We start from the raw sequence: 17,764 nt of genomic DNA on the forward strand, positions 1-17,764 counted from the left end.
TGAATGATTCTCCCAAAATATTGATGAGCGAGACAAGTCAGACATTTACTGAGCTACTAGATTTTTTTTATAAGGTTCTAATATGGGCAGGGTGAACCCATGATGTTGGAAGTCAGGAAAACAGAAATCCTGAGTGTCATCGGCATGACCACAGAGCCTGGCTTCCTCAGGGACTGGTAGCGTTTCAACTCTTGACTTCAACACAGTTTACACAGCTGTGTCCACTTTGTAAATCTCACAAAAGTGCACATTAAGAGTGTGTGTACCTTTTCACATATGTGTCACACACCATGAAAATTATTTTTTTCACCTCACTAAACGAAAATGTCCTAAGTCATTGTTGCAGTGGTCGCAGTGTTAGGAAGAGATAAAGTAGTATCTTCATAAACAAAATTAGTAAAAATAATCCTACAAAGTAAAAGCCAGATCATAACCTAAAGAATATTCACTTCCAATCCTTTCTTTTTCTTATAACTATGAGAATAAGGCCAATAAAGTTATTTGATTTTACCAAATGAATGTCCTATTTTGCATAAGAGGATAAATTAAAACTAGTATTCTGGCTTAAAAATCTAGCCCTTTTCTTACCACATACTTCTATTCTCATTAAGGTATAGAAAAATAAAATAACCTATAAATAAAAGTTATGTGACTCTTTATTTTTAGTTGTCATCTCCATAAAATAATTTTATCATAATTTACCATTTACTTTAAAGCAGCAAATACTTCAAAAAATTATTTATTTTGCCTTCGTGTCTTTTTTTTCAAATAGAAATATAGAAACAAAGATAAAAACAGGATTAGAGACGATGAAAACAACATATTAGAAAATACAATTTAAGACAATTTATTGTCTTTCCAAGCCATGAGATAGTTTCCATACCCTTACTATAATGAATAGAAATATTCCCCCTTTCATTTTTAAACTTATAACCATAATATACTGCAAATATGCAGAAAATATTGAAAATAATACAACGGGCTCTATCCTAGATTCTTAGAACCCTGGATTCCTTAGTTGTTAACATTTTAATCCATTAGCTGTTGATACTTTGATCCATATGTTTCTGATATTTTTACTGTTTATAGTTTAAAAATTGTAGATGAAGCCAATCACCCCCATGTACCTACCCATTGCATTCCCTAGCTTCCCAGAGGTACCCCAAACCTCAGTTTGACATCTATGAATGTTTACATGTATTAATTTACAGATTCTATATGTACCTATATCATCAGGAAATATTGTTTTACATGTTTTAAATTACGTACATGAATGCTCTGAATTGTAGCTTTATGTTAGGATTATTTAAAATGGAAAGTTCTAAATGACTTGCTTCAGGATAGTTTTCAAATTCTCCTAGGAAAGAAATCACCTGACTTTTATCCTCATAGTGCTTTGAGAGGTGGATTATAATTGCAATGTCCTACTCTGCCTGTCATATTTTATTTCTTAAGCTGCCTATATGTAAGTTCAGTCTTGCACCTATGTTTATAATTAATTAGATCCCAAAATAGAAATGGCAGCAGAGAATAGAACTTTGTTGTTGTTGAAAGTATCAGAAATGGTTGGAGGTTGCCTGCTATTTCCCTACACTCTATGCAACCATTTCCTGCTTACCCAAAGTCTTAATTAAAAAGTGAATTGTTTTTTATTTTATGACTTCGACAAGAAGGTCATTATTCTTTCATTGGGTAGCTCTGCAGTAAGCAGCTTTCTCTTTTAAAGCTTTGACTGATTTAGCTTCATTTTAACTCTGCTCCATTGCTGGATAGTACCTTTCTTCTGTGAGTCATTGCTGATATTCCCCCGTTTCACTTCCCATGTCCAATTCAGTCTCATTTTGTGACACCCAACTAGCTCATCCACGGCCACCCATCTGCTCTTCCATGTCCTCATCTCCACGTCCTCAGGCTGAGCTGCTGTCCGATCCCATCATGCTGCACTGATTTACCCAAATCTGCTACTGTGACCTCTAGTCTGTTCTCATTTCGGCTGCACTGAAAGAAGAAATATCAGGTTTCCAACATTCTTTCAAGCCCTGCATCACGTGGCTCTACTCACATCTCCCACCTCACTGGGACTGGTCTCTTCTCAGTCTCTTCCCTGGAAGAAAGATGTGCTCTTCCCTGGAAGAAAGATGTGCTCTTCCGGTAGCTTCAATGTTCCACACGCCTCCACCCCTCCCCACAGCCTCGCATAACCCACGCCCTCAGCCCAAGACTGTCTTCCCCTCCACACACAATCCTTTCCTAAGAAAGTCTCCTCCAGCCTCCCAGGACCTCATCTGTGGTACCTTGTTCTTTTCCTTCAAACTCTGATCCATGAGAGAGGGTGCGCATGTGTCTGTATCAATGTTTCTCTCCCTCACTAAATCCTAAGCTCCATCAGAGCAAGAACCATGTCAATTTTTTTTCAAACCTGAACATTTATCATTGAAACCCCACCACTTAGCAAACTCTTGTCTTATGGTAGCTGCTTGATGAATACTTGAAGCATTAAAAATGGTCATTTGTATCACCTAGCATGTGAGCAACTAGAGGTTGTATCCCTAATATCTGACAGTGTTTGTTTATTTTAAAAGTGAGGTGAAATATTCACATAGGTGGCACCAACCTTAGCAACTGCTCAGTAGCTGCCGTGGTAGCTGGAAACGGCTGTCCTGCTGATTGCCTCAGTGTGTGACATCTCCACCGCAGCAGCTCTGGGTTCGTCAGTGCAGGGGTGCTGCCTAGGACCTTAGCTAGTTATCATCCCCAGGTCATTTGTGTGGCTTAGTTTATCAAGTGAGCTAACAGAAGTCCTAAAGGCAGGGTCCGTGGGCAGGTGAAAGACCACAGGGACATTGTAATCGGGCAGGAAACCAGCCTGGATGCTCAGGAATGTGAGAATCTCAGAGGGTAGTAATGGAGAGAGAGGAACACAAACACGATGAGGGAGGCTTTAGCCTGTTTTACTCCTGCTTTAGCTAGTTACACTTCTGGTAGAAAAAGAAGGAGAGAGAAAATTAAAAAATAAAATATGTGACTGGTGTAGCCTTTCTTAACTGTTTACATCAGCCCATATTTGCATTGTTTCCTTTGAAAATACTGAATTCCATTCTCGTTCTCTGCTTAGAATATTTGGGTTTTCCATGTTTAATATACCGTAGACCATTTGTAACCAAAAAGCTATTCTTAGGTAAAGTGGTTTTTCTTATATATTTTTACATTGAAAAAAAAACAAATTAGGAAGCCTTTTTGTATTTAAATGATTATAGGCAATGGCTCACGCCTGTAATCCCAGCACTTTGGGAGGCCAAGGCGGGTGGATCACCCAAGGTCAGGGGTTCAAGACCAGCCTGGCCAACATGGTGAAACCCCCATCTCTACTAAAAATACAAAAATTAGTGGGGTTTGGTGGCCTGCACCTATAATCCCAGCTACCCAGGAGGCTGACGCAGGAGAATCCCTTGAACCCAGGAGGAGAAAGTTGCAGTGAGCCGAGATCGCGCCATTGCACTCCAGCCTGGACAACAAGAGGGAAACTGCATCTCAAAAAATAAATTAATTAATTAAATAAAATAAATGATTTAAACCTATGGATACCAATGACTGCATTCATAATCATAGCTATTTAAAGACATGGCATAATAATTTGCTTTTCCCTTGGTTGCATTCCACTTATTAGGAAGTGGACTAAGAAGCAGAAACCCAACTTCCTGAAAATCTTGTTTTCCCAGGGTTTTCAGATGTTCTGTCTACACTGAAAGATGATAACAAAGCACTACCAGGGGCAACTTTGACACCTTATGAAATTGAACAAATAGTACTGTGGTTCTTAGCCATGAAATGGAGTCCATTTTGGAGGTAAAACACTTCTTGTCTGGGGCACAGATACATAAAAACAGATTGCGCAAAGAATGTGCACAGATCACACAAAAGCCTCCCCACCCCCAAGAAAAAAAGCAAGTATATTATCACTACTTTGGATTTTATATTTTTCTAATTATCTAGGTATATAAAGTATATACTTTGAATAAAAGTGAACTGATAATTACTCTTCCAGATACCAAAACTTATTGTAAGGTTATATTAACAAAAACAGTGAGGTTTAGAGACAGACAAATAGAAAAATGGAACGAAACAGAGTCAACAATTAAACTAGCTTATGTATGGGAACCTGGAATAATATCAATTTTTTTTAAGTTGTACAATATGTGCTATCTTTATGGATAAAAATAAATATAAGCTGGGCATGGTGGTTCACACCTGTAATCCCAGCACTTTGGCAGGCCAAGGTAGACTGATCATTTGAGCTCAATAGTTCAAGACCAGCCTGGGCAACATGGAGAAACCCCATCTCTACCAAAAATACGAAAATTAGCCAAGCATGGTGGCACGTGCCTGTATCCCAGCGTCTCAGGAGGCTGAGGTGGGAGGATCACTTGAGCCCAGGAGGTTGAGGCTATAGCGAGCTGAGATTGCACCACTGCACTGCAGACTGGGAGACACAGTAAGACCCTGTCTCAAAATAATAATAATAATGATAATTAATTAGACCTGGGGCAGGGACAGATTCCCTGTTCACTAACCCTCTTTTCTTGTCTTCGTGGGCACACAGCTAAAACCACCTTCCCCAGCCTCCCATGCTTTTGGATGTAGCCACGTGTCTGAGATCTGGCTGATGGAAGGTGAGCAGAATTAATGCACCCACTTCCAGGCCTGACCCACTAAGGACTCACTGCACAATCGCCAAGCCTTATGCACTCTTTTGGCAACCGTGAAGCCATGTGCAGAAATGGTGGATCTACAGTGCGGAAGGAACTGGGGTCCCTGAGTCAAGGCTTACAGTAAAGGCAACTGCCAATCAAAAATGTCCATTGTGGACCTACTTGATAAATTTTTATCAGATTAGATGACCTATACTTGTGAGTTTATTTGTTAAAGGAGCTAGCATCAACTTTTCTGGTACAGATTTATTTAATACCATATGTAACATAACTTCTATGTCATTAAAGATTTTAGAGGTGAAAACCTTTGGACACCTCTATAATGAAATATAGGAAACGATATTTATGACTTCAGGGTAAGAATGGAATGCTTGAACAGGACACGAAAGCAAAACAGCAAATCATAAAGGAAAATGTTAGCAACCTTACAATTAAAAAGAAATTTGTATTATAAAAGCCATTATAAGCATCATAATCAGATTACATCAATGGGAACAGATAGGGAGAAGTTATTTACAATGCGTATAGCTCACAAAAGATTAGTATAGAGAAAATAAAAATTCCTGTAAATATTTTAAACAAAGAATGCAATAGAAGAAATAAGCAAAAGATGCAAATGAGCAATTTACAAAAGATAAAATCTGAATAGCCAACATAAATATGAAAGCATGGTCAAATTTACTAGCAATTCCAGAAACGCAAATTAAATGACAATGAAAATTGGATAAATGTTTCAAAGCTTAACAATATCAAATGTTGGCAAGGATAAGGGATTATAGTAACACATATACACTGCCAGCAGGGCTGTGAATTGGTGCAGCCACTTTGAAAGCAGTAGGGAATATTCACTGTGGTTTTGCACGTAAATCCATTATAACCCAGCATTCTACTCCTAGGCATATAGCCTGACAAAGTTATCACACATATATATGCAAGAAAATTTTCTATAGAAACATTTATAGTTGCAGAAACTGGGAAATAACTTTGAAGAGTTCATCGATAAAGGAAAGGTAAGTAAATTCTGGCATGGCAATAAAATTGTATGCTATAGAATAGTAAAAACTAATAAATTGGATGCATATGTTTTAACAACAGAATGGAAATGCAATAAGAATAAATATTTCTACATTTTCAAAATAGGGAATGCTCCATTTGGCACTTTTTCACTTTCGTAGAGATGGCAAACAGGTAAAGGAAAGACAAGGATGCAATGTGGATCTGTAAACGTGGCTGTCTCTGTAATAGTTTGCTTCTTTCAAAAAAGGCATTTAAAGCAAATATACCAAAAAAATACATTCGTTACATCTAACTTAGACTCTGTTGTGTTATTTTCTATGTATTTAAAAGTCTTTAAATGAAAAAATAGTTAAAATGATACAAGTCAATATGATAACTAAGCTGTAAGAATGATTTATCCTATACTTATCCCATACTCTTTGAATTAATATCTTCTCATGAGGACACAAAATATTTTACACATCATCCCCACAAAAAAAAAAAAATGAAATAGAAAGAAGGAGGGAAGAAAGGAGACGGGACTTAAAGGAAGAGAGAGAAAGAGAAAAGAAGGGAGAAAGAAAGGGAAGAAAGGAAGGGAATATTTTTTGTCTTAGAAAGATGTATTGTTTATACAAATGAAAAGATGACAATCTACTGAGAAGAGACACTTGCTGAGAAACTAGATTCTTCATTTGTTAGCACACTAAAAAACGAACTTTACTATTAAGGTTATGAAATGCAGGTATCTTGGGCTGTCTCAATAATTGATAAATTCAACAAACACCTAAGTAGACATTAATCTCATACCATTGTATTTTATCTTCATAACAAGCCTCTGAGGCAGTAAAATTGAAACTCAAAGGAGTAAGTTGATCCTGATCAAATAGCTAATAGGGGAAGGGTGTGAATGTGAACCCAGGTCTTCTGAATTCTAATACACTCCTTATCCCACAATACTACAGCTATGTAGAGAAGAAAAAAAAGTACAGTACCAAGACTTGTTTCCACACTTCCAAGTACTGACATCATTAAAATCATTTTTTGAGGGTTGAGGCTTATGTTTTAATCTCAGATTTTTCCATAAAAAAATAAAAACACTAGCCCCCACCACCCCCAAGTAACCTTTTTACTTTTAACTAACCTAGAGACTGTTAAGCATTCCGTGAATTTTCTCCACTCAATAGTTCCTGGTTTAGAGCAGGGAAATACAAGGTAAGTTATTGCACACCATCCGAGACTGAGATGGAATTAAATGAATGCCCCAAAATGACTAGAACAACCAGAAAAATCAAAGGTACCACTTTGGGACAGGTGCTTTCTCTCAATTAACTTAAAACTTGGCTAATTTTGGGAGAAAAGTGAATGATGGTTGTGATTAAAATCATCACATGGGCATCTGATGGTATGCCGTAAACATGATCCAAAGTTAACGCAAAGAGGTTTAATGGCCTGGACCGCAGCGAGCATTATCATTCAGGGCTATTGCAGAGCCTTAGGCAGCCTCTCAGCTTGACTAGCAAGCGGCCTAACACTCCCCATCAATTGCTTGCATTCCAGCAATAGAATAAAGCTCACGCTTCACAAATCTTCAGAACTCAGTTCGTACAACTGTCAAATGGATGATCTCCAAGGCTCTTTTTAGAAAATCTATGGTGTCTTTGCCAACAAGTAATCCCCATCCCATACAAGAGGGACATATGCAACATACCAGTCGCCCAGTCTGTGTTCAAGGGAACCAACAGAATGGTGACCTCAAAGCCATCAACCCTGTTCAGTGAAATCACTTTCATTTTGGGGGTGATTTGTTTCTAGAATGATTATTCCAAATGGCATGCACGCTGATACTCATTATTCATATTCACCCCATGCAATGCACTAATTTTCTTACTATTGCACTAAACTTAGAATGCATAGTGCCCTCACCACCCCCTGCAATCTTTTCTTTCACTCATTTGATGGGGGAAAATTCAGTACATTAGATGTTTCCAAATATACCCCTATTATCAACAGTGGCCCTTTATAAATTTCAATTTTTAATTTTTGTGGGTACATCATAGGTGTACATACTTTTGGGGTAGATGAGATGTTTTGAGACAAGCATGAAATGTGAAATAAGCAAATCATGAAGAATGGGGTATCCGTCCCCTCAAGCATTTACTCATTGAGTTGCAAACAATCCAATTATACTCTTTAATCAACAGTGGTCCTTGACCAGCACTCTGCTGCCACCCAAAAAATGCATGAGAAATGGCCTCTCCGTGAGCTAGTTATCTTCTTTTGCCATCCGGTTCTATTTTTATCAGTTCATTACACTCCTTCTGACATTGGCTAGGATCCAGGCCCTTAGAAACTGCCTGGCAAAAAGCACTCTAGAGAGGGCATGCTGCTACATAAAATGCATCTGTCACCCCAATTTATGCAAATCACAGGCAAGGACCATTTTTAAAATTAAAAAAAAAACTAGTAAGAACTTTCTAATACAGAAGAAAGAAAATTCAAATTCAGATGAAGAAAGTGGCAGGAAGGTGTGGGGAGTGAGTCCTTCTATTCAAAACTTAGAAACGACACCATTCCCAACCCCAGAAGGAAGACTGGTCCAGGTGGGAGACCTAAGTCCCATAGGAGGTAAATTGTAGATGTGAAATTCTCACACACCTGGCAGCCTCCTAGCAGAAAGGAGTGATTTCTTGTGTTGCCTAAATGTCTTGGCTTGGTGTGTGTTTCTGTTTATGTCAGGGGAAAGGAATTTTAGGAAAAGCTGAGAACAGTAGAGTTGAATAACTATAATATGATTCATCTCATAGGAAACCTAATATGGACCTCAGACAAAACTCCACCTCATTTTTTTTTCCTTTAATATAAAAAATACTTTTTCCAGTGTATAACAGGAATAGTCCATCACCCCTAGGCTCTGGACGCTTAAGAAATGGATGCCCAGGAGAAGCACAGGATCTCAAACATAGTTGAGAGCAAATGAAGCCTCAGGAGACTTCAGGACAAGGACAAGGAAATGGTTGCCTCATATTAAAAGAAAATAGTTGATCTGTTAAAAAAAAAAAAAAAGAAAAAAAAAAGTCAGGTGTGGTGGCTCAAGCTTGTAATCCCAGCACTTTGAGAAGCCAAGGTGGATGGATCACTTGAGGTCAGGAGTTTGAGACCAGCCTGGCCAACATGGTGAAACTCTGTCTCTACTAAAAATACAAAAGAAAAATAGTCAGGCATGGTTGGCACCTGTAATTGCCACTACGCGAGAGGCTGAGGCAGGAGAATCACTCAAACTGGGAGGCAGAGGCTGCAATGAGCCAAGATTGTGCCACTATACTGTAGCCTGGGTGACAGAGTGAGAGTCCGTCTCAAAAAAAAAAAAACAAACATGGAACAGTATTAGTACTTTATGAACTTTCAGTTTTGAGATTCCCTTGAATAACTAGAACACATAATTATTTGTTTGGCAGAAACCATTAATCCCACTATCATGTTTTCCCAAGATGAGAATAATATGCATATTCTCTAGTATTGTCTAGGGAGAATTCCTTCTTCAACCATTATTTCTTCATACCTTTATGAAGAAATGTCTTCTCTAACATTCTAGTAAAATGCAACACTTTTCTATTTTAAAAAAACTTGAATTTTTCCAAGCCATAAGTCTTACTGCAATTTCTGAATTTGCATTCTATGAAAGCCTATTTGCTCTATCTTCACCTTATTTGAATGAATGAGTGCTAGGTTTGTCTAGAAACTGTAACGATTTTAAGAAATGTATAACTATATTTAACATGCTGTATTTACGGGGTACGTGACAATTAATTCCACATATAATCATTCCCTTCTATCTTGATTTGCACAAAGCCCATGGTAACAAGGATCACATGTGTTATTGCTCTGGGTTTTACAGAGGGGTCAGCGCCCAGCATGGCTGAGAGACAAGTACATTCTTGTGCCATGCTCTGATGCTGAGTCCAGTCTTCTTTTCTTTCAAAGTAGCCATTTGTAAACTGACACACTTATGTTTCTATTTCTCAAACCACTTTCAGACCTATTTGGAACCTGCCTTCACAGCTTATGGATTATTTTTAAGATTCTAAAATAAAAATAGAAATTTATCATCTTTGACATAAAAAAGGCCCAAAGAGGACTCCAAGCTTCTACTAGTAGGACACACCAGGATGCATTTTTTATTCTGTTACTTGATGTGATTTGGATGGTTTGTCCCCTCCAGATCTCGTGCTACAATGTGGCCTCCAGCAGTGGAGGTGGGCCTAGTGGGAGGTGTTTGAGCCATGGGGGTAGATGCTTCATGAATGGCTTGGTGCTGTCCTTGCTGCAGTAATGAGTGAATTCCCACTCTATGAGTTTACATGAGATCTGGTTATTTAAAAGAGGCTGGCCCCTTCTCCCTCCCTCTCTTGCTCCCTCTCTCTCCCGCTCCTGCTCTCGCCATGTGACATGCTGGCTCCCCTTCAGCTTCCTCCATGAATGGAAGCTTCCTGAGGCTCTCACCAGAAGCAGATGTCAGCACCATGATTCCTGTACAGCCTGCAGAACCGTGAGCCAAATAAACCCCTTTATAAATTATCCAGTCTCAGGTATTCCTTTATAGCAACACAAATGAACTAAGACACTGCTGAAGAAACAAGATGTGTTTACACTTCTTCAAGCACCTGTGACGCAGAGCCTCACCCAGGAAGGGCATGAAACAGCCCCAGAAGAAAGGTATCCACCCGGCCAAACATCCCAGACGGGGCTGCAAAGGCCCTGAAGGCCTGACCCATGTGGGATGTCCTAATAAATCGGGGACTGAAAATGTGTTAGTCACTTCCTAAGCACAGATGTGCTTATGTTTCTGATAGATAAGACTGCAGTCTTTATTACTTTAATATTGCATCTCTTGACTCAGAACACAAAGCCCTCAATATCTGAGGGTTTACAATAATTCTCAATAGCATTTAACCTGGGCACCAACATAGTAAGTAGTTTCTAGGACACCTTCTGCCTCTGTCTTCCCTCTCTCCTCTCTCTTTCTCTCCCTCTCTCTCTGCCTCTCTCTCTTCCTCATCCTCCTCTGTCTCCCTCATCCTCCTGTCTCTGTCTCATTCTGCACCTTCTCCCGCCCAGTTTGTCCCAGGGGCTCATGCTCCTTAGTACCTGCTGGTTTGGGTTTTCTTGATGGTGTTGTTGCTGCATCCCCTGCCCACAGTCTTTTACTCTTTTCAGGTCTTTTTCTCCACTCCACATCCTTTATCCTACTGTCCTTTGTAAGATGAAGACAAGCTTCCTTTCCAGGTAATGGCAACTCCTCCTGTAGTCCCCAAAGGAGTGTGTTTTTTTCACTCATGCCAAGACCTCTCTGAAGAACTTGAAAAGTCTGCAGAGCATCCTGGAAGGGGCCTTCAAATGCACTTGCTGCAAATGGTCAACCTGTTCCCTGATTATTTTTCCCTATCTCTTACCAGCAACTGTGGGAGTGGGGACAGGGCTTATATACCAACCCATTTTTAACCTATGAATCTCAGGACCTGTGTTAGTCTGTTCTCACACTGCTAGAAAGACACAGCCGAGACAGTAATTTATAAAGGAAAGAGGTTTAATTGACTCACAGTTCTGCATGACTGGGAGGCTTCAGGAAACTTACAATAATGGAGGAAGGTGAGAGAGAAGCAAAGGCATGTCATACATGGCGCAGGTGAGAGACAGTGAGCAAAGGGAGAAGAGCCCCTCATAAAACTATCAAATCTCATGAGAACTCACTATCACAAGAGCAGCCAGGGGAAAACCAGCCCCACGAGTCAATCACCTCCCACCAGGCCTTGCCCTCAACACATGGGGTGATGGGGATTAAAATTCGAGATGAGATTTGGATGGGGAAAGGGAGCCAAACCATATCAGGACCCAACTATCACTCCAAATCCCTCATCATTCTAAGCCCTGGGGCTCTCTTGCAGATAAGATACCAGGTAGCCCACCCTGATGTCCCAAGAGTCCTGTGGGAGACAAGAATATTAAGACTTAGCTATGACCTCACAACCCTGGAAAGCTGCCAGAGACTGTGCATTCTTTGTGCTCACCATGGCAGCAGGGTATTTACAGCCACTGCTGTGCAAGAGGGCATACTGGAGCTGATTTGGGTTTGTAAATGATGACCAAGTTTGCAGCAAGAAGGCTTTGAGGATGTAATCGATCTAGACAGGTGGATCTCGCAGGAGGCAGAAAAGAGATGAAGCTGACAGAGCGGTCAAAGCATAAAGGGGAGAAGGAACATGGCGCAGAGAAGCAGAAGTGCTTGCAACAGGGGCTCCAAGTGAATCACAATGATATTGATGATTGGGAAAAAATAAGTGAGAGAGACAAAGCGGGACTAGAATGCTGAGCCTGAAAATGTGAAGAAACAGCTATTTATTGGATGAGGTGAGAAAAATAGACAGTAATAATTAATTTTAGAGCAGGAAAGTGACATGATAAAAGTAGTGTTGTAAAAATATTAACACCATACAATCATCTAGAATGCATTCCAAGTGGGAAGACTTTTCAAGAGACCACAAAAATAATCCAAACTTGAAAAGGAGCTCAACTTTAATGGCAAAAGCAAGCATGGAAAGAAGAAAATAAATCCAAGAGAAATTTTTTAAAGAAGAAATTTCCAACTAATTTGTAATGAAATAAGTATAGGGTAAGAGAGATTATCACCTCCTAAGTTTAAGAAACATCCCACAGAACAGTTCTGGATTCATTATACCATTAACGGGAGAAAGTACTATATTCTTGTTTCTTTTGGGTGGCCGAGCACAAGAACAAAACCGTTCCTATAGTTCTTAATGTTGCCTACCGATTTAACATTTCTGGCATTTTCAATATTGCATCAGAAATTCTCTATGTCATATGTTATGTAGAAAAAGAAGTTTATTATTTCTCCAGTTTATCTACAGACAATGAGCCTATTGTATTTATATCTTCACTTCTGTTTTACTTTCAGAGTTTGCACCTGAATATTCAGGACTATTCAGTCAACACAGGCTGGTGGGTGGTAAATGTAATGTCATTTCATGATACATTTGAGAGTAGTATTTTCTCCCTGAAAAATTGAATAAAAGGCATACAAGGACATCCGGCTCTGATTTTAAATTCAAATGATAAACCTGCTGCAATGTGTATATTAAAAAAGAATACACTGTATTCTTCAACTATAGCTTATATGATTTCTCTTTCTTCATTTCACATCATTCTTCCATTTCACATAATCGCAATATCCTTCATATGACAATTCAGTAGAATCTTTCAATTCCAAAGTCAATGGAGATGGTCACATAAAATATCTCTGACTGTCAAAATTGCTCTAAGATTGTTTATGGCTACATTTGCCCCTGGCCAAGCAATCAGTTGAGAATTTGAGCATCAGGATATGTCGCTGCTAAAATGTTTATGGTAATATCTGGATTTGTGCAATTAATCATTATATAACCCTCACTTTGTAACTCTGAGATTCAAAGGAATACGCTAATACCTGAGTCTGATTCCATCCCCAGTCTTGTCCTGGAATACACAGACGGTAACAACAGTAGCGCTGAATCAAAGCTTTATGTAGTGGAAGGCACTGAGCACAGCCATTTCTATGAATTGTCTGATTTAATACTCTAACGACACCATGTTGGGTACTACTTCAATCTTCTCTTTTACAGAACTGAATCATAGAGTTTCAGTAACTTCTCCAGGAATACTTGCTAGCAATCTACACATGATTCACTGATGTAAGTCTTGTGAGTGAGTTGTACACAGAACACTATCGGTGCTCCGAGAAAGACAAAGACAACAGCAATACACAGGAAGACATCCCAGGGTGACGACATATGAGCTGGGTGCTAGCAGACTTTGGATTTCTAGGGAAACACAACAGTAGTCCAAGATCTTGTGTATAAGATCCTTATAAAGAAGAAATATACAAAAGTTTAGTTGCTATGCCCAGGATACTTAGACAACATTCTCATGACTCAAGTACTGAAGTCTCAATACCTTGAACAATCTCTCTTTCTCTCCTCTCTCTCTCTCCCCCTTTCCTTCTCCCTACATCCACAGAGGCTACCACAATTACCATGTCTTTAAGATACCAAACTCTTACCAATTTTTTTGAGCAATTTTCTTTGCCTTCTAACTCACTGTGCACAGAAAAATTACTTATCTGGACACCCTACTTGTTCTTCAGCCCTGGGGAAAGGTAAGAGGAGAGGACTCTCCAGATGAAGGAAGAGCATTGCAAGGCCTCACAATCCAAGAATATAGGCTGCATATATTTACCATCCCTCCAAGAAGAAGCCTTTCCATTTTTTCTAGTGTTGTGTTCTACATGCTTCAATGATGACCACATGGTTCTAGAACTCAGAAATTCAATAATTTTGCAAAAACTGAAGATATAGAATTTAAATAATATCATCCATTGCATTTTCAAATCTTAAAAACCTGAAATTTTAAACATGTCTTCATATGAACAACTCTCTCTCCCCATAATACTTGCCTTTCCTATAAATATGTCAAGCTCAGTTAATCTTTTCTGAATACTAGAGTGGATTTGCAAAAAGATGGACATTTTCTGCTTTATTCCAGTATCTCCAGTGTCTCTTAACATTTTTGATGCCTTCATCATAGTAAAATGGCTTTCATTTATGACTCCCATTTCTTCTAAAACTTTCCCAAGACTACTTCCCAAACTCAAGCCTTCATTGCCACTGACCTAACCCAGTACAATAGCTTTGCGGTCCCCTATATTGTATCTCTGCCTTCAGTGGTCTTGCTGCAATGCCTCCTCTACATTACCACCCAGGTATCTTCCTACCACATCAGATTCATTGGGTTATTTTTCTCCTCAAAAAATTCTGATGGATCCTCTTTGTATATAGAACAAAAATCCTTAGCCGGCCGGGCATGGTGGCTCACACCTATAATCCCAGCACTTTGGGAGGCCAAGGCGGGACGATGACAAGGTCAGGAGTTCGAGACCAGTCTGGCCAACATAGTGAAACCCTGTTTCTATTAAAAATACAAAAAAATTAGCTTGCCATGGTGGCAGGCGCCTGTAGTCCCAGCTACTCAGGAGGCTGAGGCAGGAGAATCACGTGAACCCAGGAGGCGGAGGTAGCAATGAGCTGAGATCACGCCACTGCACTCCAGCCTGGGTGACAGAACAAGACTCCATCTCAAAAAAAAAATATATATATATATATATATATCCTTAGCCTAGCATTAAACATCTTCCATAAGCTGGGCCTAATATACTTTTTCTATTTCATGCTCTACTTCATTCTTAATCTATCAGGGTAATACAGATACCAATTAGAACATGTCCTATCTTTCTTGCCTGTGTGATTTCATCCCCAAATTCCTTTCACTGAGTGTACAGTCACTAGATTTGCTCATATAAGCCCCATTATAGCTCAAGGCTCAATTTGGATTCACCCTCCTCTGTAAACCCACCCTTCAGGTTGAACTTAATTTTCCGCATGGATTTTGTCCTTATCTTTCTGGTGCACCTTCTGTTCTGAGTTGTATTACAGTTACTTGCACACATGACTGTAAATCATAAAGAGCTTGACCATGTGCCCCACAGGGAGCCTGACCCTTAGCATGTGCTCAGGCAAGATGTGTTGCATGTAATTCTTCCCAATGCTGAACTTCAAACTTCTCCATTGGACACTTTCAGGCATTTATTGGCCAGTTGCACTTCTCCAGTCAATGAGAATAGAGTCTTTGAGATAAAATCCATCTATTGTCTTGTTGGCAGGCCACATATCCAGCCCATCTGTGCCGATGCCACAGACAGCTTGAATAACATCTGTTAGGCACATACATTAATGAGACTCTATGCCCACCTATCCATCAGAATCGAGACAGCAATGAAAGTAATTTAACACACGATATTGTCTATTGAAAGGCCCGCAAAAAATGAAACCCTAAGATATATCATGCCCTCAGTTAATTCCTTTCAGTTAACTTTGAAACTTTGAAACAACCCATTCTAATTGTCTCATAAAAACTAAGCAATCCAAGCTGTATTTGGAGATGGCTGATGATATATTTATTTCACAATGGCCCACAACACTCATTTAGTATTACCTTTAAACTGTCTTACAACTCTATATGTTTTGGATACATCCCTGCTCTCTTCGAAGAACTTATTTCTCTGTCTCTGAGAAGAGTAATTCATTCTAAGGATCCAAGATTATTTTACTCTGTAATTGCCAGAAGAAAGATTTCATCTTGATTATATTTTAAATAATTCACTATAATTTTTTACTTTTATACGTAGTTTGAAACACCATACCAGTTCATTTCCATTGAAATATTTGGCATTTGTTTATACTAGTCTTGAGAGAGAAGCATGGTTGGAGAAAACTTTATCTTATGATATTGTCTAATTAACTAGCAAATAATTCTGTATCACCAGCAGCATTCTCGTTGCTAGATGGAATAATATTTCAGCAAGCAGCATATTGCACCTATTGATATATGAAATGGAAACCTAAACAGTAGTCTGAGACCTGAGACTAGAGATCATTTGATGAGGAGCTCATACATATGTGTATAACTTCAGGATAAGGAATTTTTAGTAGATGGGGTCCTCTCATGTTAGATAATCTTCATGAAGTGATTCGAGCGGAAACTTGAGTACTGATTTCATGACCTTTAATCAGTTTTTAATGTCTTTCATTGTTATGTTTTGCTGTCTGCTTTGCAGATATATGAAATGTAATAAAGATACAGCAAACAAAATTTAGCTAGAGAATAGAGTATAAAGTAACCCCAAATTCAAGATAGACATTAGCCTCATTTGAATGACTGAGCCACATGCAAAGGCCACTTAAAATGAGTTAATAATTAAGCACTAATTAATTGAATAACTGGAAATTATAAATATTTAGAAATGTATAGTAGCTTATCCATGATGAAGTATTAGAAAGAGAATAATACATGCTATTGTCTTAAGTCCTAATAGCTTGACCATTTCCATTAATTTGAAATGATCAAACTCATATAGTATCAAAATCAAAATTAGATATCAGCATATTCTACCAGAAATTAGATTTGAATTAATTTTATTAAATACAATCATATTTAGTTATAAACCGGGGTGTGAGAGAATTGTATTTTTTCCTTCGATAATGAATCACTTTTCAGCATAAAATGTGAACAGTAGATATGTCTACCAATAGACATGTCACCACAGTGACACACTACACTTGTCAATAAAAGCATATTGTGTTGGTTTGTATTGCCATAACAGAACACCACAGATTGGATAATTTATAATTAACAGAAATTTATTGGCTCATAGTTCTGAAGGCCGGAAAGTCCAATATTAAGGGCCAACATGTTCAGTCTTGGTGAAGGCCCAGTCTCTGCTCCCAGATGTCCTCTCAAATGCTGCTTCCGCCAGAGGAGAGGAACACGCTTCCTCACATGGCAGAAGAGCAAAAGAGCTGAGAGAGATCACTCCTTAAAGCCCTTTTATTAAGACATTAAACTCAACCACGAAGGTGGAGCCCTCATGGCCCAATTACTTCTTAAAGGCCCCCCTCCCAATGCCATTATGCTGGCAATTAAATGTGGCAATTAAATTTCAATCTGAGTTTGAGGAAGCAAACATTTAAATTATAGTATATATGTTATCACTCTTTGACAATCATTCCAAATGTTCTCTATTGAAGGTTTAAAATTATCCATTAGCTAATATAAAAGCATTATTAAAAATAATAATATACTCATTTCATAAGACTTAAAAAATGCATCCAAAAAAAAAAAACCCAGCAATCAGATTGGGTACATTGAATCCATGTAATGTATAAGAACTTCAATCCAAGAATTTGGAAGATCTCAGTTGAAAGGAAACTGACGCATAACCAACTTTAAGTTGTATTTTGTGTAGCACGTAAGTTCCATAAGAACTATCTCCATATTGCTAATTGTCAATATGCATGAATGATACCTGTCCACCTAGAGTTCTGCAAATCTACCTACATTTCTTGAGAATTGCTTTCATTGCTCCTTTTATTGTCAGCTATATAGTCACAAAA

The sequence above is a fragment of the Homo sapiens genome, chromosome 8, assembly GCF_000001405.40.
Source record: "Homo sapiens chromosome 8, GRCh38.p14 Primary Assembly".
NCBI classification, from domain to species: domain Eukaryota; kingdom Metazoa; phylum Chordata; class Mammalia; order Primates; family Hominidae; genus Homo; species Homo sapiens.